This window comes from Homo sapiens, chromosome 8, assembly GCF_000001405.40.
Source record: "Homo sapiens chromosome 8, GRCh38.p14 Primary Assembly".
In the NCBI taxonomy this organism is placed as follows: Eukaryota; Metazoa; Chordata; class Mammalia; order Primates; family Hominidae; genus Homo; species Homo sapiens.
In genome coordinates this window covers 66027120-66053695 of record NC_000008.11, presented here as the reverse complement: position 1 = coordinate 66053695, position 26576 = coordinate 66027120, and the positions used below count along the sequence as shown (strand labels likewise).

The 26576-nt window shown below is 43.3% G+C and overlaps 1 protein-coding gene across 4 annotated transcripts in view, besides 1 other annotated feature; it reads right to left on the bottom strand.

Annotated features, from left to right (window-relative positions):
- DNAJC5B (DnaJ heat shock protein family (Hsp40) member C5 beta) overlaps window positions 1-26576 on the bottom strand; it is an 86268-nt gene that overhangs the window by 47550 nt on the left and 12142 nt on the right. For all 4 annotated transcript variants that reach the window (NR_146171.2, NM_001349432.2, NM_033105.6 and 1 more), the window contains exons 2-3: window positions 10085-10208; window positions 2030-2165 (exon numbers count right to left, since the gene is read on the bottom strand). Coding sequence is in view for 3 of the 4 variants with exons in the window: in NM_001349432.2 (NP_001336361.1) it covers window positions 2030-2148 (119 nt within the window). In the remaining variant the exon portion in view is untranslated. The remainder of the gene's footprint in view (window positions 1-2029; window positions 2166-10084; window positions 10209-26576) is intronic.
- Window positions 21075-21134: a silencer, noted in NCBI's record as "silent region_19250". NCBI's record gives its function as "represses an Ori minimal core promoter by ATAC-STARR-seq in GM12878 lymphoblastoid cells {active_cell/tissue: GM12878}" and the evidence as "EXISTENCE:reporter gene assay evidence [ECO:0000049][PMID:35858748]".

The following is a 26576-nucleotide window of genomic DNA, read 5'->3' as shown; positions in this document are numbered from 1 at the left end:
ATCGCGCCATTGCACTCCAGTCTGGGCAACAAGAGTGAAACTCTATCTCAAAAAAAAAAAAAAAGGTAGTTGAAGAATATAGACTAATACAACCTGATTTTTAAATGTCTTTTCTAGATAGAAAAAAAAAGACTAGAAGGAAACAGAATATTAATGATAATTATTACTGGAGGTAGGATTATGGATAAATGTTATTGCCTTCATTTTTGGTAATTTGCAAAATTTCTACAGTAAGCAAATTAATTTTGTACTCAACATTTTTTTTTGCAAGTTGGAAAACAGTTTAATCATCAGTCACCAAAACCCACAGGTGAATCTTAAATGTTTACAAGCACAAATTATTCCACTATTTCTGTTATCACCATGTCCTTCCTGGTAGAGTATCACAAGTCAAAAGTTTCTGGTTGTTTCATCTACTTAAAACTATATGTAAGAAAGAGCCTGAGTCTTAGCAAATTTAGACTTCAATGTGAAACTGTCAAAGCTCTCCTGGCACTTTGGGTGGCCAAGGTGGGAGGATTACTTGAATCAGGGGTTCAAGACCAGCCTGGAAAACAAAGCAAGATCCCATCTTTTTAAAAAAGTAATTTTAAAAAATTAGTTAGGCATGGTGGTCCTGATAGCCTGAGTAGCTAGCCTGAAGTCCTAGCTACTCAGGAGGCTGAAGCAGGAGGACTGCTTCAGCCCAGGAGTTCAAGGCTGCAGTGAGCTATGATCAGACCACTGCACTCCAGCCTGGGTGACAGAAGTGAGGCCCTAACTCTAAACAAACAAGCAAACAAACAAGCACTCTCTTGGAAAGATTTTCTCTCTCTGAAAGCAGCTCTCCTGTCCAGAAGGTGGTTAAGGTCCACACATCTTTCTTCCTCCAACTAGCCAAGAGACAGTTAAATACCTCAAAATGCCCTAAGAGGTCCCAAAATATTGTCAAGACAAGTATCAGATAGGCTACATGCCTTATAGGTGGGACAAATAACAGAGTTTTCAGAAATTCATTAAAATCATCATGGAATTCTTAGAGGACTGACATACTATAGCACCAGTGCAGAAAGTCTCCTGGAGTAGGAAGCCCCAAACCAGTGCTTCTTCTGTCACTGACAGGCCTTTCTAGACTTCGGTGTAGAAGAAGATGATTTTTTTTGTGCTTTGAGTTGGGGATTTGCCCCTTTGACTTTAATTTTCAGACAGCTTCTCTCATATGTTTGGGTTGTAGTAATGGCATTTCTCCCTCAACATTTTTTTATTCCTTGGACTTAAAATAAAAAGACATTTCAAAGTTTTCCAAAAATAGCTAACTTGGAACTAGACCACAAAAGATCAAAATTAAGGGCTTGAGAAGTATAGCTTACAAATACAGCATTCCACCAAACTCCTTTTATTAAAAAAGAATTCCTCTGACTCAGTGATGCTATATCAGATGGGTTAAATGACAGCGATTGGCAGGGCGCGGTTGCTCATGCCTGTAATCCCAGCACTTTGGGAGGCCGAGGTGGGCAGATTGCCTGAGGTCAGGAGTTCGAGACCAGCCTGGCCAACATGGTGAAACCCCATCTCTACTAAAAAAAAAAAAAAAAAAATTAGCTGGGTGTCTGTAATCCCAGCTACTCAGGAGGCTGAGGCAGAGAATCGCTTGAATCTGGGAGGCGGAGGTTGCAGTGAGCCAAGATTGCACCACTGCACTCCAGCCTGGACGACAGAGTGAGACTCTGTCAAAGAAAGAAAAAAAAAAATGACAGCAATTGGTTGTGGTTGGTTCACTCATTTCTCTCTCTGTCTTTCTCTCTCTCTTTCACTGCAGGTCTAAGACACAGGCTGCCCTTTCCTAAGGCCCAGCATCATCAGTGAGTTCTTTCATAAAATCACTGTCATGCCTTTCCATTCCTAACTCCTATGTTGTAGAGCAGGGAACATTGGATCTAAAATTTGGATTACTGGTCTTAGTGAGAAGCTTATGTCTTTAATGGAGGAATCTGCCAGTCACAAAATAACTCACTAGTAGCAGAAGAAATGTCACCATTGAAATCCGTACCTGTAGGTTTTCTTAATTTCTTCATTTGATGCTCCCTTATGCAGACCAAGAATTTCGTATAGAGCTTCTCCTGTTGTTGACAGAGTCCGCTGTCTTTGGTTAGGTATGTTACATGCCATTTTCTAAGGCTGCAAAACTAAAGGGGAGAAAATAGCCATGAAGGTTATGCACACTACTTCCCACTCTCTAAAGGGGAAGACAGCTCATTTTTGACCTTTTGTAAAATGACAATTTGAAGAATATTTGTGTACCAACTACAAAAAGAGGGGAGAAAAGGGTTAGGAGAGCCAAAAGCAGAGCTCTGAATCAGGGTGTTAAAGAATACAGGCAGCCATGCAAATGGAACAGGGCTTTCTCCACACGGTTAAATAGAAGCAAAATGTCATCTAAACACCCAGTGAATTCAGAATTGTTGAGAATCAATCCTCAAAGGCCAGGCAAATGTAGAGCTTTTTGGTCTTTCATTTTTTTCTGGAATTTGCTTAACTTCTTTTTCATATATTTTCCAAATTTAGCCAGCAATGGAAGTGGTGGATATGGGACAAGCAGTGGCTGGGGGATGTTGTCCAAATTATACTAAATTTCAGTTAAATAGGAGGAATAAGTTCAAGAAATCTGTTGTACAACTTGGTGACAATAGTCAATAACAATATATTATATATGTATGTGAAAATCGCTAGGGAGTAGATTTTAAGTGTTCTCACCACACAACAAAATGAGAAATGAGCTACTGTGTATGCTAATTAGCTTACCTTAACCATTCCACCATGTATGTACACATAAGTCAAAACATCACACTGTACACCATAAATATACACAATTTTTATTTGTCAAATAAATGAACAAATCAACATAATAATTCAAATCCTAGGACTGAAGAATATAGAGTTAGAGGCCATCTAGGCCATCTTAACAAATGCCTTTTGGGGAGTTCTGGCCAGAGATCATAGTCGTAGATAATTTTCCTATTAGCCGTTTAGCTTTTCTTTTTCTGGGGAGTGCATAGGTCCCCACTGCATCTTGTGCTTTTCCTGAGACCTGCCTCGGCCTTACCTGATCTCAGTTAGTCCACCAGGAAGAAGTACCTGACCCAAGCCAGACCAATTAGAATCCTTCCCTAGGATTTTAAAAATATAGAACTATCTATCAGATGGTGAAACCTATACAATTGAACATTTGGGTATTGTTGGCTGGCCTGAATTAAGAGAGGGTGAAAGAGAGTGAGAGCCTCAGTGGGGTTCAGTTCCTGGCTCCGGTTGTTCTTGGGTCCACCTGCAACTCTTACCTTACAACAGCTTGTCTATCAACCCTTCCTTGGGTTGAGCCAATAAAATTCCTCTCCATGTACAAATGTACATGCATATTTTTTCTTGTGTGTTTCAGCTAGGTTTTGGTCACTGTCACCCAGGACTCCTAAGTGCTATTATACTCTCTCAATTAAACACCAGTGGCAGCTCCCTGAGCATGGTCAAGCCAGACTAACTATTGTGGATGTTTCTTAAATCACTGCACCTACTCTGCCTTTAAGTTGAATGTGGCTTCTGGGTACTTGGGAAAGAATACTTTGGGAAAATAATAGTGATAAACTAAGATATTCAAACCCAACAGATTCAAATGTATTGTGTTGACATTTCTAGTACAGATAAGAAGAGTTATGTCTGCTTTATCGATTTTTCTCTATATGCAACATCCAAAAGAAACCATTTTGATAGTTTCAATTTGAGGGAAAAATGTATTTCCTCTTCATCATCTATGTCATAAAATAAAAGAGATGTCATGACTCCCATAAATCAACAGATAGTTGTAAAATCAATTTTAACAAGGCACAGAGGAGCATAATTTTCATGCTTGTGAGCATCGTGCTCTATGACTCACTCACTTTGATTGCTTCCTACTTGGATCTTGCTGTCACTAATCCAGGAAAGAGATATACAGGTTACTGAAGATAATCTACTACACGGATTATGATAACACCCACAGCCGACAATTCAGTTACAGTTACGCACCACTTAACGATGAGGCTATGTTCCGAGAAATGCATCTTTAGGGGATTTTATCATTGTGTGAACATCACAGAGTGTATTTACACAAACCTAGATAATAGAGCCTACTACACACCAAGGCTATATGGTATAGCCTATTGCTCCTAGACTACAAACCTGTACAGTGTGTTACTGTACTGAGTATTGTAGGCGACTTTTTAACACCTAAACACAGAAAAGGTACCGTAAAAATGTAGTGTGAAAGATAAAAATTGGTACACCTATATGGAGCACTTGCCACAAATGGAGCTCAAAGGACTGGAAGTTGTTCTGAATCAGTGAGTAAGCAATGAGTGAATATGAAGTCCTAGGTCATTGTACACTTTTATATAACAGGCAATGCAGTAGGTTTGTTTACACCAGCATTGTCACAGACATGAATCATGTGTCACACTACATTATGACAACTATGATGTCACTAGGCAATAGTAATTCTTCAACTCCATTACAATCTTCTGGGATTACCATTGTATATGTAGTCTGACATTGACCAAAATGTTGTTATTCAGATGACAGTATTTATTCAGAAGCCTAAAGTGTGGGCTAGGTCTTCAGAGAGGTTGCAGACTAATATGGGATCCAAATGTATAAGCCAAAATGAAACTAGTGTTCAGGGTCAGAGAAGTACCAAGTATAGAGATCAAACAGACGAGGGATCTCATAGAGGACAGGATTCTGCTTGGGAACCATGCCATTAGAGGCCTCGCTTTGTGCTTGGCACATATTAGGTATTGGCAAATGTCCGCTGGGTGATTCAAGAGCAAGTGCTTAACTTGAGTGAGAGTGGGAGGGGATGGCCTCGCAGAAAAGGTGAAGCCTGAACCGAAAGCAACACTACCACTTGCTTCTGCAGTAGAACTTGGTTCATATTTTTCTATTATTGCCCTTCTATCTAAGTCTAACCTCAGATCTGTATGGTCTTGGTGGCCAGTGACTTTCTTGGTCATCTATTTGCATATATCAACATGAATTAGGACTTCTGGGTTTGGGGACTGAAAGACGAGGGAGGAAATTTTGATTGGGATCTAGCTCAGAGAGAAGATGAGGGGAGTTTAGACCAGATGATGCCCACTGGTCCCCTGCCCTACCCAATAATGTGTTTTTGAGTTCCTCTGGGGGAGAACTTAGAGACTGAAGAGATGTTTGCATAAGCCCTCTGTAAAGACTAAAGGGAACAAAGATCTGCAACTTTGAAACCGTTTCATAGGGAGAGGCAGCACCCAGGCCAGGCTGGGCCAACATTTTCCTACGAAGAAAGTAGCGACAGAGAACATGGCAGAAAGCTGACACTGCTGCCTGCCCTTTCCCCCAACCCCAGGCCTGATAGGAGAAGGGCTGGTGGCAGAAGGCCCAGAGTCATTTCAGAAAACATTTGCAATACCCTCTAGGGATACTCAGAAATATGTGGGGTGTTTGGAAGCTCCAGAATCACAGTGTAGGAAAGGGTACCAGCAAGGGGCAGGAAGAGTGAGGGTGAGCAGCTGGGTGGTGGCTAGTGGGGGGCCTTCAGGTTGCTTTGCATATACTTTAGCTGGAGTTAAGAAAACATCCTTGATTCAAATTTTAAAATGGGCATGGTGTGGACTAATGCTAATGGAGATAATGGTGATAAAGGGTGGACACTAAAGCTCTTCTCTGCAACTCTCCCTGAGCACTGGCACATCTTTGGGAGGATTCTGCAGGAGGCGGGGCCCTGTATTTGTACAGGTGAGGTCTAGCAGCATAGCAAAATGAATACATGAATACCAGGAAGGCTACATTTACTCCCACAGCCAGTGGGCCTGGCAACAACAGGGTTTTTATGCTCAACAAAACATTATTCACTTAAATGTCCCTGCACCACCATACTCTGAGCTCCTCAGGGGCTGGAATCCTATTTTATATTAATCTTTGAAATACAACTGACATAGCACAGGGCTATGTTCCATAAAAGTCTTAAGAGCTGTCATATTGCATGAAAGGGAAGGAGAACAGGGAATTAGGCTTTACTGAGCCCCTCCTATGCACCAGAATGACAACTTTCGTATATGGTGTCATTTAATCCTGTTATCGGTACTTAGGGACATCAGAGAGGGACCCCCAAAAGCTTAGGAGTAAGATAAATAAAACGGTTTTCTGAGAGTTAAAATGGGAGATCAGTGCATGCTGGATCAGGAAGAAGCTATCTTATAAAATCATCTTAAAGAGATAAATGGCTCCTGGGCCTGCAAGACCTGATAGAACCTGATTAACTGCATAATCGTAACTGACAGTGTCAGGTTCTTCTTGTGTCGGTTATTCAGGAGGATGAGCAGACATGGGCAGGCAGAGAAAAACAAATGCGGAGGCCAATGCTGGCTGGGCCATCCAAGCACTATTGCAAGGAAGGAGGAAAAGGACTCAGGCCCCATTGGCCAAACGGTTGCTCTTGAGAGAAGCCCATCCAGCAATTTTGGCCCTCATTGTTAAAATTCGACTAATCTAACTCCATGCTGTCAAGTCTCCTTTTGGTTATTATCTGGCGTCCTACATAAGTCTTCCTCAAGGAAGAGAATGCACTGGTCACATGGATTCAGTTCTTTTCACTGGTCTCAGGGACAATTCTATCTCCTGGTAAATGAATAAATTGGAATCTGTTGATGATTTGTCTTGCCCTGAGATCCACCCACAAGGAGGGCATGAATGGGTCATGTTGACACAAGTGGTCTTCATCCAAGGATAGCTATTTCCCTTCATAAAATAATGGACATCCAAAGTTTGTGCACCATCCGGAGAACGTGGCTGCAGGGAGTGTGGCCTTCAGCAAGGCCCTGCTCTCTGGCTGCCGCCATCTCAGCTGGTTGAGCTTCCAAGGCTGAGAACTGGACAGCCTTTCACTGTTTTGACCACGGTAAGTTCATGATATGGTGATGAATACTGTCATATGAAGTCTTTAGAAGACAAGCAGCCTGTAGCCCCCGAGGGGCAGCGGGCATATACCTCTCTCCTTTGCAATCTCATTTTATGGATGAGAGAAGTGAGTCTCCCTGAAGTAAAGCAACTTGCCCAGGTTCACACAGGCAAGTTTTGAATTTAGAGCTATCTGGTTCTAAAGCCCATGTTCTTACTGGAGTGTCATATTGAATAACACTTGACATTTCTAAGATACTTTACAATTTACAATTTCCCCCAACTAGTATCTCATCTAATCCTCACAAGAACTCTGAATAGTGGTGACACTGAACTGAAGCAGCCTTGCACTGTGTCCAGCTGCAGGACGTGAGGGGCCCTGCAGCTCTGTCCACGGTGAGGGGCCACAGGAAGGCGCAGTGGGATCTAAGGGCTATGGTGGCAAGTGTTTTCCCTCTGCGCAGCCACTGAGCCTGCACGTGGACTAAGAGGGAGCTCCTGAAGGGGTTAGTTAGGAAAGTAGAGTTACCTGGAAGTAGAGGAATGTGTGGGTTATGCAAGAATTTCAGAACTTCTGCAGGGAGCCCAGTTTGTAAGCCACACAGGAAAGAAGATTCCTGGTCTCTGGGTCAAAACCTCCTGAGGATTTCCAGGAAGCCCTGTGGCTCAGGGCTACAGGAACCACATGAGCCATAGCCCTGAGCGTTTCTAGTCTTGTTAAACATGCTCCTACCACCTCTCCATTCCCAAACTCCTGGTTCTTATTTTCCCTGCTGACTGGGTGGTGACAGGATGGGGGCATGTTAGGTTTGGCGTTGGGCAGCACTTTTACTGGGTACACCAATGTCTGTGAGCAAAGCAGCCTAACGTTAGCATTCATGCTTTTCACAAAGGAAGACTCCGAGGTTTCTGGAGTTGAGGGTGCCTGAATCCTGTCCAGTATCTTTTCCTGTGTGAGGAAAGCAGCCCTGGGGAGCCTGCAGAGCCCTCTGGTGCCCTTTGAGGATGGTTTTCTCCAAGGCTCCCTCCTTCAAAATTATCCCAGGTGTGGAAAAAGAGAAATGGGCTCAGGCAGGGGCTGCTCCCAGCCCCTTCCAGAGAACAGTCCTGGAAACAGCCTGGAGCCTGTCTTTCTCTGCCCCAGGCCTTTGCTTCTCTACCCTCCCTTTTCTAGTATGAAAAAAAAAGGCAGATTCCATTTCTCGAAGAGTTTCATAGATAAAAACTCACACCCGGGAAGACACAGTAGCTAGCTAATTCTTTGGTTTATAATGTTTTTTCCAATCATCACTTCATTTAAAAATTGAATCACATTATAATCTATTCCCACTAAATGAAATTCCAGTAGCCAACTTGTTTGATAATATGCATTGATCAATATTCAGAATGGGTAGTATAGAGTGTTTATTGTCTGTTTCATCTTCTTTTGCCCTATTCCCAAATATTTCCTTTCAGACAGACAACATCTTTTAATGAAGAAACTTTTTTAAAAAGTCCATTTGCATCATGTTAAAATGCAAGCAAAAGATAGTTGGTCAATGTGGGAAGTAGTTGGCTGACTCTACACACTGAAACATGAAGGAACCAAAAGACCAGAAAGCTGCTTTGTGCCTCAAGCAGCAACAACACACTACTTTTTCTGCCTCCTTGTTAAGCTAGAAACCAGATTCTTCATATATTATTGATTTCTATGATATTTAGTTTCAGATTCAATAGAGTAATACATTGAAACCTTTAATGACTGTAAAGATGTTATGTCCTGAGAACATAATAACATAAAATCTCTTCCTTAAATAACCTTAAATAGTGGGCCCATAACCTTTTAAAATTCCTTATATAAAATACAACTTTTAAAACTCTTTTTTCTGTAACCTTTTGAATTATAATATTCCTATGCAAATTTCAAGTCTTTATTATTTATTCATAGTCCCTCATCTATCAGGCATCCAATGGGGAGAAAAATCTTGTCGAGAAAAGTCATTAAGTGATTTAATTTTGAACATCTAGTACATGATACTTAATCTTCTGAACTTAAAATTACTTTCTAGCTGCACGACAAAGCCATTAATATTACAAAAACCATTGACCTCTATAGAGTGACTACCAAACCAGGTACTGCTCAGGTGCCTCTTGATAATGGATGTAACTGAAAGAAGGTACAACCCCCCAATGACAATAGGCACTGACTCAAAGTTAACAAAAATTTTAAAGATTCTAATTCCAGGGGTCCTACGGGTGTGGTTCTAAATCTTTCGTGTTGAAATGAAATCTTCATTTCGAAGCAAAAGAAGCTTCACCTATATCTATTATGTGAAGTTTGAAAAAATAGAAAAAGTCAAACTATGCCTTTCTTGGCAGGGTCCCTTCACAACTGAGAAAATGAATGTGGGCAGAGGAGATTAGATCATTAAACACAGCAAACACACTTTCCATGGCATTCACTGGGGAAATCAACAAGTTTTGCTGCTTTGTCATTACTTCTATGATTCCTTCATAGAAATTTGTTTAGTGGAGCAAAATTCCCATAAGCCCAAATAATGTATCTTAAAGCTAAATGAACTTCCAAAATGCAAATCCTATGTTTAAAAGTAATAATTCTCCCTAGCAGGATTACTTATTTGCTATTTGAAAACAATGCTCTTGGCCGGGCTCGCACCTGTAATCCTAGCTCTTTGGGAGGCCAATGCGGGTAGATCACCTGAGGTCAGGAGTTCCAGACCAGCCTGGCCAACATGGTGAAACCCTGTCTCTACTAAAAGTACAAAAATTAGCTGTGGTAGCGGGTGCCTGTAATCCCAGCAACTCAGGAGGCTGAGGCAGGAGAATCACTTGAACCTGGGAGGCAGAGGTTGCAGTGATCCGAGATGGCGCCACTGTACTCCAGCCTGGGTGACAGAGTGAGACCCCATCTCAAAGGAAAAAAAAAAAAAAAAAAGGTTCTTTTCATTGCACTAATCCTTATATAAATGGCAACCTGAAGATGGGGCAAGTCAGAATGTTACTAGTAAACCACAGTACCTGTTCCTGGAACCCGGAACCCCGATTCTGTGTCCGCAAACAGGAACAACTTGCTGTTTTCAACTGGTCTGGAAATAGATGTGCAAAGAAATAAAAGAAGGCAACAGCAAAAGCTGCTGTTCCATACCTGTTCCACCGTTTCAAAGCAAACAGCTGCTCCTTTCCATCCTTCCCCCCCATGCAGGGTTAAGCAGGTCAATAGAGTCAGGTTACTTTTCATTTGTTACTTTGCCAGCCAATTGGTTATCCCTCTGGAAAACACAACAAAGAGAGAATGAAACATGCATGACCGTAAAGCTTGCAATTACAAGGCATCCACTGATACCAAAATATATGCTGCAGCCCACTTTTGATCCTTTGTTGACTGGTGCTTGGTTCAACCAAACACCACTGAGGAACTGCCTCCAGCGTCTCCACCGGGACTCTCCATTAAGGAAATAAGCTCATCTCCTTACATGTGAAGTGGGTTCCTTCAAACTTCATTTCCTTTTTGATCTAAGGCTACTACTGATCAGTTGATTTAAAATTACTGGAAAGAACATGCAACACTAATAAGGGGGAAACTTTAACTGCTCACTATTTATTAACCCAATATTTTCAAATCTGCATATTTAACCCTCGCCTAGTTAAGAGGCATTGAGTCACAGTACTGACTGAGGTGGTTTTAAGAGTTAAGGCATCTCTTGCTAATGTCCATACTCTCACAGACATTAAAAAGTCTCGTGAGACAACAATTCCTATGATTTAGAGTAAGATCCTACAGACTAAAAAAGTTTTACATGAGACAGGTGTTATTCCTGAATTTGGCACAGTGGGGTCCTGGAGGCTGAAGGAGTAGTTTAAGTGTGCTGTTTACCAAGACAGGTAGCCCAGCTTCAGGCAATTTTGTGTGAATGATTCAGAGCACTCTCACCTCTAGTTGAGAGTTTTTTAGATACCTTCGGATTTCCAGCCAGAGTTTATGAAGCTGCCCATCATCACAGAAGAGGAAGAAGAAGACGAAGAAGAGGGGTGCGAGGAGGGGGAGGGGGGAGGGGGAGGGGGAGAGAGGAGGGAAGAGGGAGAAGGAGGAGTAGGAGGAAGAAGAAGAAGGAGGAGAAGGAGAAGGAGAAGGAGAAGAAGAAGAAGAAGAAGAAGAAGAGGAAGAAGAAGAAGAAACACAAACAAATTTAGAATGAAATACCCAAGTTCCAGCATGACTTCAGCTTAAGGACAGTGTCCTTTGATGAAATAAAAATAGTTGCTATGTAAATATGGTGAGCTTATGGGTAGCTTTTTAAAAATGTATGTTTTAGTTTATGTTTCAAATTTAGTCTAATAAGAAATACTTTTAGTAAAAGTCATTCTTTTTGCACAATGAATCACTCTCCTTAACCATTAATCTTTAAAGTATTACATAGAACATTAGTTTCAAAAAGTTAAGTAGTGCAGAACTCTTCAGCAAAGTGAAACTGTAGCTGAGTTTCAAAGAGAAAGTGCAGTATTCATTCAACAATTAGTCACCTATTGAATTCAAACACTGGACTAACTTCTAGAAATATACTGATAAACAAAAGTCAACACAGACCCTGGGTGTGTGAGTCAAAGAGTTACAGCCTTCCAAGACAGGCAGTGAGCAATCAAATGGTCACTCAAAAAAGTGGAAAAGTGAGACTTTGGAGAGATGCTGCAAGAACGTAAAATCAGTGAACAGAGGAAGATTAGAGAAAGCTTCCCTGAACAAAAACAACTGGGCAGAGATCTGAAAAGAACTAGATAAAGGAGTTGCTGGTAGTAGCAGATATATTCCAAGCAGGTGGAAGAGCATGTTCAAAGGTCCTACGTGCTTAAGTCGGAGAAATTAAAGGGACATTCTGATGTGTGCTGTCATACATAGGACGTCATTACATGCCTATAAGCATATGGCTTCTGATATCAAAAGATACAGCCAGAGATCAATGGGATCATATTCCACGTAACCAGGTGAGGCTTTCTAGAAATGGTGAGTTTCAAATGATATTTGTAAAAGGAAATAACTCATGGTAAGCACATTAAACAATTCCTTGATTCAAAATGCACTAAATGTATTGTAAAAGCATTGCCAAGTGGATCATTTATGTTTTGAAAAAAAGAACTTAGTATATCTTCCAAGATTGAACCAAAAAGTCCTGTCTCTGAGGCAGGAAACTTAAGATAGAACCATGATTGGGAGGAGGGTTTTACTTGCTAATTTCCCTTGTTTTCTCTATTTGTGAGGTCTTCACCATTCCCTTAGGGGCTCCTAGGGACCCCTTATACACCTCTTTCAATTGCCACATATGGTTAGGGCTATTTTAAGAAATGACTGGTGCACTACCACAGAATCTGCAGCAGGTACCAGATCAATTATTTGAATATTCAACCCAAGCTATCTAACACATAAGCATTAGGGTTACATAGTCTTTCTTTTAAATTTCATATCTCAGCAGGCTCAAACACCACTTGTTTCGAACATGTGATGTGCAAGGACATGATGAACAAAGGCATTATTGTTACTAATATTATTATTTTTAGTACCTCTCTACATCATTTATGTTATTAGTATGCAATATATGAAACTCAAGCCATCACTTGTAAATTTCAAAGAGATAAATCATCTGATCAAGATTCATTGTGTTAACTTACTTGGGAAAGGGAAAAAACAGGTGGTTGCTTTGATTGTATAAAATGAAAAAGCCGTCACTACCACTCTATCTAAGATGTAGCTACTGAACAATTCTGGCAATTCTTCTGTAAAATCAAGTGCTTATATGTTTCTTCAGAAGAACAAACTGGTTAATTCCTATTATGTTTTATCATTTTACAAAGTTAAAAAAAAAGTCCCTTTTAAAGAGAAGTTACAAAGGGGAGAGAATTTTAATGTGTGCTGAAATCTATAAACATGTATAAAACATAGAATTATCGAAGGCTAAGCAGAGAGAACTATTTATAACTCTCTCTAGAAACACTTGGAAAGATTTTAAGAATTCTGACGCCCAGGGCCCACCCAGACTATCCCAAAGCAAAAATCTGGCTCAGTGGGGCTGGGCTTATGCACTTTTTAAGGCTCATGGGGCGGTTCTAAAGAGCTGCCTGGATCGAGAGCCGCTGTTTACCCCATGTCAGAGAGATCTGACTGCCGACAGCTCTCCAGTCAAGTAATGTGGAAAACACCTGCCGACCAGCAACTCTCTAGAGGAATTTCCCACTGCCTGAGTTTCCCAAGAAAACATTTACTGAAGATAATGGCATCCTTGTGAAAAAACATAAAATAAAATTCAGTTTAACTCAAGAATGAGTATCCAAAAACATTCTTATTTCTTAAACACTGGGCAAGTCACTTTTTTTTTTTTTAAATGGAGTCTCACTCTGTTGCCAAGCTGGAGTGCAGTGGCACGATCTTGGCTCACTGCAACCTCCGCCTCCTGAGTTCAGGTGATTCCCCTGCCTCAGCCTCCCAAGTAGCTGGGACTACAGGCACGTGTCACCACTCCTGGCTAATTTTTTGTATTTTAATAGAGACGGGGTTTCACCATGTTGGCCAGGATGGTCTCGATCTCCTGACCTCATGATACGCCTGCCTCGGCCTCCCAAAGTGCTGAGATTACAGGTGTGAGCCACTGTGTGTGGCCGCAAGTCACTTTCTTGAAGCCTATGTCTCCCCTAAAAATCATCATAAAATATAAACCCATTTTACTTTTTATCTCTTAGAACTTTTATGAAATGTCTACTACGATGTGCCAAGAATTATACTAAGAACGTTTATATACATAGATTATTTTCTAGGGTTGAAGTTTGGAAAATTTTTAAGAAGTTACTCTCTCCCTGCCCCCCAAAATGGGAACAAAGTACATTGGAAGAGCTTTAAGAATTTGAATCTGTAATCCTGATAGATTTCATTCCAAATTTAAAATGCATCAGTGGATGGAATGAGTTATACAACAAATGGGAATTGTTCCCCCTTTATCACAGTGTAAGGCACTATACTGGGTATTTTAGGAGACTAAGAGGCAGTGATGATGATGATGATGTTAGTGATAGTAGCTAACACTGACTAGATTATCTCACTGAAGCCCTAAAAAGTATAAAGTGGGCTGGGCGCAGTGGCTCATGCCTGTAATCCCAGCACTTTGGGAGGCTGAAGCTGGTGGATCACCTGAGGTCGGGAGCTCGAGACCAGCCTGGCCAACATGATGAAACCCCGTCTCTACTAAAAATACAAAAAATGAGCCAGGCATGGTGGTGGGCACCTATAATCCCACCTACTCAGGAGGCTGAGGCAGGAGAATCGCTTGAGCCCAGGAGGCAGAGGTTGCAGTGAGGCAAGGTCGCACCATTGCACTCCAGCCTGGGCAACAAGAGAGAAACTCCATCTCAAAAAAAAAAAAAAAAAAAGTATGAAGTGGGTGTTTTTATGCACTCATTTTCTAGAGGAGGAATTTAAGATTGAGGAGGTTGAGTGAATTGCCCAAGGTAACCAGCCAGTGAACAGTGGACTCTGGCTTTGAAATCAGGCTGGTTGATTCCATAGCTCAAGCTGTCACCCATTACGGAGCTTTGCTTCAGGAGCTTGTAATTCCAGGGGACTGCTGCCTGCTATATTCCCTTGCTTATCGGTCTATGACTGTGCCAAATGGTGCATGTGTTAAAGCTAAAGAAAAACATTGTGGTAATGGACTTAAACAAGGAACTACCAATAAGTGTGTTCACTAATAAAGTCTAACTCACAGTTCTAGTGTCAAGGTTAAGAACTTGCTTCCTTTGGTTAAGTAAACTTTTGGTTAAGTAAAGCTCAGAATCTGAGAACTGTGCTACAAAAAAATATTGACTGAGTCTTGGCCCCTGCTAGGCAACATAATATGTATTTCACATGTGTGAAATTTAAACACCTTGTTGCTTACTTACAGTAAGCAATTGCTGTAATAAACCAAGGAGGCTTCAGGTCAAACAGATGTATTTGTTTGACAAAACATAAACAGAACCTTGATCCCTGATTTTGCCAGTAGTTATTCCCTGTTCCCATTAGCCCAAGATGTCTCTAACGTTAGCTTAAAAAAAGGTAGAAAACAAAAACAAGGATGGTATTCCCTGCTCAGGACAAAAGTAGTCCTTTTTAGTGAATGTTTTTGGATACTTCTTGAGTTAAACTGAATTTTATTTTGTGTTTTTTCACAAAAAGTTCTAATATGGAAGTTGCTCTGCAAATTGTTGTCTGAATGTGGCTAAGCAGTCTACAAAGCCATGAGTACCCAGAACCCAAAATACTTTCCAATCCTATTTGTTTGGTGATGGTAAAAGCATAGGCCTGAAGATATATCTTTATCTTAACTCTAAATAAGCCTCCTTCAAATGGAGCCTCACTCAGCCCAAGTAACAGACACATATTTGAAAGAGAAAGAAATGCTAAAGATTCCCTCCTGAGATTAATGACACCACCTATGTCACACTGGATCAATTCCTAAGTGCCTTCACAGGTCATATCATATCCATTATTTGATATTATTAATAGGTGCCCATTTTAAGAAAGGTAACCTGTTAGGTGTGATCATGTGACTTCTGCCAAGCCTGAACATCACTCATGAGGGTCACAAATCTGGAACTGGAATCCAAATGATCTGCTACCAATTATATCCTTTTTGATCCCAGTTAAATAAAAAGACTGAATGGAGCAAGTGAATTGTAAATGACAAAGGGAACCCCCTCGTGGCCAGGTAGACCCTGCAGCGGTCACTGGTCTTGGAAGCAGGGCAGTCCCTCTGCCTGCCTCCTGGGCCCACTGCACCAAGCAGATCATGGCCTTGCACTAGTTCCCATTATCCACAGTGGATCTTCTCAGTGGAACGTTTCAACTTGCTGGTGGAGGTCACAGCCATGCCCTCATACTCTCTTTTATAGATATACGTTCTCCCCTCATTTTGTTGAAGTTTTCTCTTTCATACAAACAGCCAAGGCTCACTAAATTGCCATCAACTCATTAGTAGAGCTTCTGGTCTGCAAAGCCGTCTGCTTTCCTGCAGATCGAGTGCTCCTTTGCTATTTACAATATGCTGTTGCTAAGAACAGCCTTGCTCTCTGCTGAGTGTCATCGGAAGGTTCCCAAAACCGTATGGCTGACACTGAGTGGACCGTCCCAGAGGTTAGAATGGAAAAGCCCCTGTCTGAATGAGTTGTGTCATCTGGTACAGATTCTTCCACAAGCATACACACACCCTCTTGGGGCCCAGACACTCACGATTAGACAGGAGATGGTGCTGGTAGCATCTCCCTCTGCTGCCCACCTCTGGCAAGGCACCTCTCCCACGTGGTCTCTCCTCCCAGGTCTCAGGTCTCTCTGGAGGTCAGCCCAGCTACCCCTTCACAGAGCCCCCAGCACCCACGAAGCCTCTCATGCCCTCAGTAGCTCTGCTCCTGCTCCTTCCAGAGCCTTTTAGGAGCCTACAGAAAATTTTCTATATTTCTCCAGAACCATGAATGCTCTGCTGTCAGTGGGAAGCTACCAGAGGGCATCAGTGGGAAACTGTTCAAGACCCCAGACACACACACCAGTCAACTGGTCCCTGTTGCCAAAGCCCCACTGCTGTTGAGGCAACAACTGTGCAACCTCAGCAATCCCTCAACCTTCCCTGGGGAATCCTCCATTCCCCCAGGGCCAGGCCTCACCTCCAGATGCTAAGTGGAACAACTCACAGAGCCAGTTTAAAAGGATGAGCCCAGGAAGCAACGAGCTGGGTCCCTGCACGAGGTAGCTCTGGCCTGGGACACAGTTCCAGCCCTGCCGCAGAACCGACCAGAGCTGGACAATCTCAGGACTGGGTGGGAGGGCAGGCAAGGAGTGCTGCCCCACAGGTCCCCCTGCCCCAGGCCCTGGGCGTGAACATCCAGCAAGTGGCCCCAAAAGCCTCTTCTGCAACTTTCTTAGAAGCCTGAGCAAAATATTCAAATGAATACATATTCAATTCAGCACTTCTTAGTTCTTAAATTAAAAAGAAAAAAAAATTTGGGTACCAGGATTTCAGTCCTAAAGCAAGGCCGACCCACCATTCAGTATGACTGTGGTGCCCTCTGGTGTTCATAAAGAAAGAAACTGTAAACAGGAGTTACAACTTCAAAATATTTCTCACCCCAAATCAACCTTGATTTTCCATGTGCCTGATGCCTGTCCCCCAGCCACCTAAGATGACGAGAGCTGCCGAGGAAAACACTCCTGGAAATATCCGGGTGGGGCAGGTCATGTCTGGAGAGGACGCCGCCCTCTTGGTGCATTCTTCTGAAACTAGAGTTTTGCAATAGCATCCCAGAGCTTGTCCGTTGGGGGATTTATAACCTACAAAATCTGGTTTTTTTGTAAGGCTTCTGTCTGAAGGGAGAAACATTGGAGCAACTGTGGAAATTCTGAGATCTCCACTCCATTCGCTGTTCAGCTAGGTCAAGACAAAAGACCCCTGAGAGATCCAGGTAGCAAATGACAACAAAAACCCAGGAACCAGCCAGACACAATCAGCCAGTTCACCAGCAGTGAATAAATGCTGCCGGGGGCTGCTGGGGAATGCCAAGGCTAAGAGATGTCCTCCACCTCTCAGAGCACGTCAAAGAGTTCCCAAAATGTCAGGTCTCAGCCAGGTTTTCCTTGGCCAGCTCATTGGGGTGTTTAATTTAAATACAGAATGCACTTTCCAATTTGAAAAAGTTCTCCCTGCATCACGCTGAACAACTCTGACCCACAGGGGCATCTGCGTTTACAACCCCTGATTGCCATTTAGAAGGGAAAGCATGAAGCATGACCCACAATACTTGGCACCTAATGGGAAGGACCAGATCATGGTAAAGAAAACATGTGCTGGAGGTGCCGGGAAGAGGGAAGGTCCCCTAGGAGCAGAGACAGGGAAAGGTAAAAGTCGACCTTCCCTTTGCTGTTCATGTGGAAGAACTTCCATGCCCTCCTGCCCAAACATGAGGCTGTGACAGGGTTGTCAGATTCCCCAGGCTGCCGTAACGAGGTACCACAAACCGCATGGCTTAAAGCAACAGGAATGTCTCATCTTACAGGTCTGGAGGCCAGAAGTCAGAAGTCAGAAGTCAAGGTGTCTGCAGGGTTGGTTGTTTCTGGAGCTCTGAGGGGAGTTGGTTCCATGTCTTTCTCTTGGCCTCTTGTGCCGCCAGCAATCATTGGTTTGTGTCACTGTGGTGTGCCTCCAATGTCACATGCTGTTCTGCCCTGGGTCTGCGTCTTCACATAGTTTTCCCCACTCTGTGTGTATCTCTCTGTATCTCTTCTCCTTTTCTAAGGAGGACTCCAGTCATATCGGATTAAGGGCCCACCCTACTCCAGTAAGGCCTCATCTTAATTTAGATCTTAATGACATCTCCAAAGACCCTGCTTTGAAATAAGGCCACATCCACGGGCACCAGAGATTAGGACATGTCTCTTTTACAGGCGCAGCACATTCAGTCCACAACAGGATTGTAAAGTTGGGCAGATTTGGAGATTTTATTTATGCCTAGGCAGTGGTGCTGGGAAATATTTAATAACTAGATTTCCAGGGATGGTGGGGGCATTATTGGAGGGAAGCCCTGGTTTGTAATGTTTGCTGATTTCCCTTCGAGGCCTATTTCAAGCTATCAACATAACACCTGGCTTGCAAAACTCCTGAAAATTCAGCAATGTGTGGCTCTCTTTCATTGATACTAACCATGCCCTTGGGGCTATTTTATGAAAAATGTCGATAGCTAAAAGGAGTTATTTAGCACAGTTTTTAATGCATATTTTGTATTATTGAGGACAAGATGACCCAACAACTTTTGGTTATCTATGTGTAAAATGACCAATTTGTATGTAATTCATATCCAATTTCAAATCTGAGCATGCGTCCAGGCAGATCTGTTTTCTGGGCCTCCATTACCCTAAAGCAGCATCAGCCTTCTCCTCCCAGCCCTTCCAGACACCTGCCCCCACCTCTGATGTCCTGACCACTCACAGATTTCCCATCTCCCTAGGTGTGACAACTCCACCATATTCTTTGAGATGACCCTGGCACTCAGCTTCTACTCTCTCCATTCCAACCTTGTGATTGGCCTGGGGCCCTTCAGCACCGCCTTCCTTGTCAGATCTTGGATGCCCTCCACCTCTCAAATCTGAAACTCCAGCTTTGCCTTTCTGCCCACCACTGCCACCTTGCCAACAACTCCCTCATGCACGTGATGCTTACATTTCTCTGATACCTCCGAGCTCCCCAAGCCTATCTGCTGGGTCCCTTTCTTCAGCTCTTTCCCTGTTCAGTGAAATCTCTGAGATCACCATTGTAACTGCTGCCTTGTCAATACTCCTAACTCTATCCACCACCCCAGCCAACATTGGACTGTATGTCCATCTGCTGGTGGGGTGAATGCTGGCACTGCAGACCCAGGGTCTCCAGTGCTAGGGGGCTGCAACCCTACCCAGCACCCTCTGTGTGTCCCAGTAAGATCTTTTACCATTCTCCACCACTCCTCAGCATTCCCATCTCACTTCCAGCAAAAGACATTCCCACTTACATCACACACACACACACACACACACACACACACAAAACAACAACAATAGAGAGAATACTCCCTTGTTAACAAAGTGTGTTCACATAGGGTCATTTGACCCACACACCTGGGACAGGTAGGCAGGGCAAGTGTTATTATTCCCACTTTATAAATCAAGAAACTGAGGCTCAGAGGGGTTTCATGTACACATCAGACAGTTATTAACGGAGCAAGGGTAGGAACATGGGTCTCCCAATTCTGAGCATCCCAGGTCAAGCGTTGCAGTGATTTTACCAGTGAGACCTTCGTATCCAGAACGAGCTCCCACATCTCTGGACACCATCCAAATTCTCTTTCCACCTCTAGGGTGTGCTGCCTTCTCAACTATGATTCAATTGCTCTCAAGGCATCTAAAGTTTATTTACCCTTTATGCTACCAAAAAAAAAAAAAAAAAAAAAAAGCGGAATGATCTTGAAAGCAAGAAGCAGTTTTATTTCCCTTTCCTCTGAGAGTTGTTACCACCAATTGTGTTTCCTTGTGGAAGTGTTCGGCTGGTAGAGTATTCTCAGAGTCCTAGGCTGAAACAAGACAGTTCACCCTCTGCTCCTGTGATCTGGTTCACAGCTCGGGAGCAGAGCAAGGGTCTGATCTGGAAACATCATCCCATGGAAGCCAAATGCGTGTCTGGAGACCCACCAAGATGTCATGGAGAAGAATCCGCTGGGTGGATCCAGTGCTGAGGGCTTACATGGATGAGATGATTCTCTGTAAACACATAATATGAGCCAAAGCCACTTCCTCTGGGAATGGGAGTCCTAAGTGAGTCATATTCTAGTCAATTAGGAATCTCAGCTCTTTCCCGGGCCTTCCAGCAAAGCATGCACACCAGAGGGGATCTGCTTCTGCCAATGTAAAAAGTATTTCCCTATCCCAGTTCCTCTTCCAGTACCTTTGTTTGTGTTGCACCCACATGGTTGTACATGGAGGCAAATATGCAAAACAGGTGCCGACCTCCTGTGTGGCCCCAGGCCAGCCTGCGTGCCTTCCTGCAAGGCCACCTCCAGATGTCTTGCTTTTTGACCTGCCCATCCCACCCCATAAGAACTGATGTCTGTGGGATACACCAGAAGCACTGGACTGGGATACGGATGGCTTGGCTTCTAACTGTGTGAACTTGGGGAAGGCCCATGCTCTCCTGAGTCTCCGATTCCTCCTCTGCAAAATGAGAGTTTTGCTGTGGGCGAAGCTAACTGGGCAATGCCATGAGGACTGCTTATGTTGTCACGATGAAGGGGACTCCGTAGAGCAAACAGAGAGTGCTGCAGGGAGTCAAAGACAAAGGAGCTCCTTTTATACAAGATTTATTTAGGGGCTCATAGTTATGTTTAGAACTAGACAGTGTTTTTGCCAAGCTCTAGTGGAAATGGAAAATGAGGAACAGCAATGTATCAAGCGATGAGGAGCAAATAAAAAGAAGGGAAAGCCCAGGCCTGCTCGTGGGTGAATCAGCAGGCAGCACGCACCTGCGGAATCATTGATTCATGCACATTTTAAGCAGTTTTGATGGGCAGATTTTGAGGAGAGATGGAACAGGATTGGACTGGCCCATGGGGCCATTTAAGGCAACCTAGGGCACTCTTGGTGGCTCTGAGGACAGCAGTTTAAAAGGATGCCTCCTAGTCCTTGCCCATGGCTGCCTCATGGGGGCACTGTCACTGCCTCCCTCCCAAGCAGAGTGGGGTGGTGAGAAGAACAGAAATGTTGTGAATATTAAATAATAATATCCACACAAAGCACGAGCACGTAGCTTTCAACAAATACCAGCAACTATTCATGCTCTGTGGGTCATCTCAAAGGCAAAGGAAAGGGGAGCCTTCTCCAGGCTCCCAGCTGCACTCAGGTCCCACATGTTCAGGTGTGCCTGCCCTGCTGCTGCCCTGAGTGTTGGCCAGCGGCCAATGCCTTCAGCTCTTCTCCATCCTAAGGAGGAACCCTCAGGGCCTGTGGGGAGCACAGCACCAGTGCTGGGAGGCAGTGGCCATACTGGTTCAGAGTACCCAGCTGAGTGTTTTAGACTTGTGTTGAAATCCTGGCCCTGCCATTTACTAGCTGTGCTGCCTTAGACAAGTTACTTCAATTATCTGAGGCTCAGTTCTTCATCTCTAAAATGTGCAAACATTTATTAAATAAACAGCTGTGGAGTAAATGGGAATAAGACTACTTTCCATATGGGAGGTCTTTGTGGCAATTAAATGAGGTAATTACTAGGCCAACTGATGACATAGTAGGTGCAATGATTAATTTTATGTGTCAACTTGACTAGGCTGCAGAGTGCCCAGATATTTGGTCAAACATGATTCTGGGTGTGTCTGCGTGGGTGTTTTGGGTGAGATGAACATTTGAATCATTTGAATCAGTTGACTGAGTAAAGCAGGTTGCTGCCCCCCACCCCACCCTCACTGTGAGTGGCCATCATCGAATCAGCTGAAGGCCTGAATGGAAGAAAAAGATTGACCCTCCTGCCTTACTGCTTTGAGCTGGGACATTGGTTTTTTTCTGCCTCCAGACTCAAACTGAAACATTGGCTCTTCCTGGGTCTCAGGCATGCTGAGTGCAGATCCTGGGACTTGTCAGCCTCCATACCCACATGGGCCAACTCCTTATTTTATATATGTGTATATACAAAATGCATACATTACACACATATATCCATCTCTCCTACTGGTGCTGCTTCTCTGAAGAACCCTGACTAATACAGTAGGTGCTTAAAAAAAATAGGTTGCTTTTAATGATTGCTAATTCTGTTATGTCAAAACTAAGCAAGAAATGATGTCTAAATGTAAAGCTGATTGAAATTATGTTGTTTAAGAGGTAGGAGGAAATGCCAATAATGACCTAAGTAGCACTTATTATTTGTATGCCATTCAGATGGTATATTTCATCTTCTAAAATGAGCATTTATAATAACATATGTGTGTATCAATTGTGGCAATATCATTACCTTAAACTCTGGGAAAGACATTTTTAAATTTATATTGATAACTACCTTCTATTTGTATAGTTCTTTAAAATTAAAGAATCATATTAATTGTACTATGATTTTACCATTCCCTAGTTATGATGAAATCACTGATATGCAAACCTGACTGTCTGCTAAAGTGGCTGAAGAAAGTGCTCAATGATTGCTTCTGCAACTTATAGAGGTGGTGAGGGGCTCTCACGAGCATAAGCCCAGGAGAAAGCCATCACTATGAGATTCCAGACACAAGGGAGGACTGTGAGCAGCCTCAAGATGTGAATAAGGAAAGATTCATGCCTGTAATTTCAGCACTTTGGGAGGACGAGGTAGGCAGATCTCTTGAGGTCAGGAGTTCAAGACCAGCCTGGCCAACATGGTGAAACCCCATCTCTATGAAAAATACAAAAATTAGCAGGGCATGGTGGTGGGCACCTGTAATCTCAGCTACTCGGGAGGCTGAGGCACAAGAAACGCTAGAACCTGGGAGGCAGAGGTTGCAGTGAGCTGAGATCTTGCCACTGCAATCCAGCCTGAGTGACAGAGCAAGACACTGTCTCAGAAAAAAGAAAAGAAAAAAAAAGAACATGCCACAAAAGCACATACTGCAGGTGGAGGAGGAAGAGAAGGAGATCTCCCCACTCTAGCAGGTGGGCTTACCAGTAGAGGAAGGGGGCAGTGGTGGCAGGGGAAGGACACAGCAAGTCCATTGTGACCCATGATTCTGGAGATGAACTACTTTCTGACAACATGAGTATGCCTTGAAATGATTCATAAGAAAAGATGCAGTCAGAAGAAATGGTATGTTTAGTTCCTTTAAGGTTCTAGGTAGGAATAAAGGACATAGGTCTCCAGGGGATTTTAATCTTTTGTTGTACAGGCCATGACTTTGAAGAGAAAAGAAGATGTAGGAAATGGACATTGGCCCAGGAAGGTGTCAAAGGACACAGTTGATTTTCTGGTCATGACTCTGAGCTACCAGACATTAAATAGCCATCAAGGAGCACCATGAAGACTACGAAGTCTATCAAATAACCCGGCTGGCAGAAGACTCGCCTCCTGATGAAGACTTTCAACTGAAATCTGAGTTGGGGAGGAAGACAGGCTCCATTACATTTACACTATGAAGGGCAATAAAAGATAAAATGCCCAATATTTTTTAGAAAACATAACAGGAAGACTACCAGGAACAGTATTTATAGGCACAGTTGTTTATTCACCAAGGTTTATTGAATAACTAGTTGCCCTGGAGACTGTAACAAATGAATGAGATCCAGGCCCCATATCAACTGGAAGTGTCTTCTCCAAAGCAAATGTCTGAGGGGCTCTCGACCACCCCCACCCTCACTGTCAAAAGTTTCAGCTCTGAGAAGGGAGAGAGATCCAGTCTCTTTAGAGGGCATCAGCAGGAAGTGATACTGTGGCATGGATAGTTTCATTTCTGGGCCATGCCAGAAACCCAGGTGTCTCCTTTCACTCACCCTCTCCATTTAAACCAGGCCGATCAATTAACCAGGCCTAATCACATCTCCTTTCTAAAGCTCTAAAGTCCACTCTCTTCCTCTGTTTCTTGAATAGAGGTAGTGAACTTGGTCACTACCCTTGACCAAGCTTATTATCTCCTGCCAGCCTCCTAACTGACAGTCCTTTCTCCAGTCTTTCTCTGGTCCCCATATACTACATCCCTTTCAAATGCAAATGTTATCTCATCACTGCCCTGCTGATAACTCTTCAAACTTGCCCATTGATCTTTAGCTAAAAGTCCAGCTTCTTAGCAGGGCCAGCCCCACGGACTTGCCCCTGCCTCTTCCTCCAGTGCCACTTCTTCCCAATGCCATCCTGTCCACTCAAACCCAGTTTCTACTAACTACTATACACTGTTTAGCTCCATGAATACACCATTGTCTCTGTCCTCTGAGTCTTTACACATGCTGTTCCCTGTCTCAAAACATTCTTCTACTCCCTTTGCCCTGGTCTCCCAATCCCACCTGGCTCACTCCTTCAGCGCAAAGGGTCAAATTTTTTAAATGTCAGGAGAATGTCACAAATGATGAAGGTAGGAAGCAGAGAGAGGAAAGCAGTGGTCCATGTGAAGCAGGAATCCTGGAGGAGGCCGGATTAGGAGTTCAACTATCAGAAAAGCTGAAGAAATTGCATGAGCAAGACCATGGAGGCAAGAAAAGTATTGGGCAAGCTGGAAAATTGAAGGCAGACAGATCTACCTGGTGCATAAGAGGTGGGGAAGAATGGATAAATGGGTAGCCAAGGGGAGAGGCTTGGTCCAGTGAAGCTAGAGAAGGTGAGAGGCCTTGAAAACCAAGCAAAGGAGTTTAGTCCTCGTTTTATAAACAACGGGAAAAACTTGAAACTGGGGAGTGCCGGTTTCTATTTTAGAAAGGCGTGGCCAACGAGTGCAGAGAAATGAGGTTGGAGAGATGAGTGATCTTAGAGGAAGATGAGGAGATGAGGGCCCAGACCAGGGTGGCAGCAGGAAGAACTGGCTGAGGTGATGGGTTCGGGAAAGATGTGGAGATCCAACCCCCTAGGCTCAATGTTCAATGACCGAATGCAGCAGTAGAGAGTGACTCGGGGATCAGAGGGGACCTGAGATCCTCGCCAGAGAAACTGGGAATATGGTGAGGCCCGTTGGCTGAGGTGGGAATCACAAAGGGGGAACAGGTTTGCCAAAGATAATGAATTAGTTTTGGAACATGTTGACTTCAGGGTGTAGGCTCTAGAAGCCCTCGTGCCTAATTAAAATCAGACACAGCCCTGGTTTCAGCATGCAGGGCGGTTCACAGAAACCACCTGTTAGAGTTCATTTTATTCTTCCTGGTGTCCTTGTGTTTCCATGACTCCTCTTTTTCATATCCCAATGAAGCAAAGTGAATTATTTGCTTTGCACGCCAAGAATGAGTTGTCAAAGCGCAGGTAGAGTGGACATGAGCGCCGGTGAGTAAGAGAAGAGCGGTTGTGCCGGGGCCAAAATTTTCACTAGGAAATTGTTTTTCTCCCTAAGTTTGTGTCAATCAGTCATAGTCTGTTTCTCTTCCTTTCAAGATTCCTCCCAAGTCCCAGTGCTGACCTGCCCTCATGAGCAACCTGAACACTCCAGACAACACTGCTTCTTCGCTCTGAGCCCCTGGGGCACTTTGAAGTTCACAGTGCGCACATTTTTCACATAGTTTTGTAGTTTCCTCTTTGCTTTTGAACTCTTTGCAGGTGTACATCTTGTCTCAACTAAATTCTTAACTCTTAAAGAGCCCAACTTATGTCAAACATTTTATTTTGCTGTTGTCACAGTGCCTAGTACAGTCCCAGGTGCATATTAAGTTTTCAAAAATACAAACGGGATTGAAACTGACATTGAATTCATTTGGCATAGAAAGGAGTGTGGAAAACAACCTCCTTGAAAGGACATAGTATGAGAGGAGATAAGCTTGATGCGGGGAGGGAGATAGCGTCAGTTCCTACCATGCAGAGGAACATATCCTAACATTAAAAAAAGGCTTTCCCTCTCGTAATAATAATGATTTTGCATTCTAAATATACTTGAAAGGACGAAAATACTGGTCTTCTAGTTGCCAAGTAAGTTGTCTTCTCAACTGGCTAAAACGTCTGTTTTCCTGAGACCACCTTTTGTGACAACAATATTGGTAATATAAAAATGTGGAACTTTCATTTATAGTGAATTACATGCCATAGTACTCCACACCACTTAAATGGCAAGACTGAGAGTGAATCTTTCACTTCCTTTTGGTTAGAGCTCCATTTGTGTGGCCATCATGATGTTTGGGTAACTTAAAAGGACAGTATTCATGACTCAGCTCGTAACATTTTCCCCAGGCAGAAGAGACGGGACAACCCCAAGTATTATGGTGGCCAGATTGTGTACTTGTCATATTGGAGGAAGATGTCTATGGAAGAGGTGAGGAGAGGAGGCAGGAAGCTGGTTTTGTAAATCAATGAATCTCAAAGATTTCCGGGGCTGTCCTGCCACCAGTGCCTGGCACTCTACCATCCACATCACATTTAATATGGATCCCTGCTCCCCAGACAGCAGGATACCCTTTACCCTTACAGGGCATTGGAATA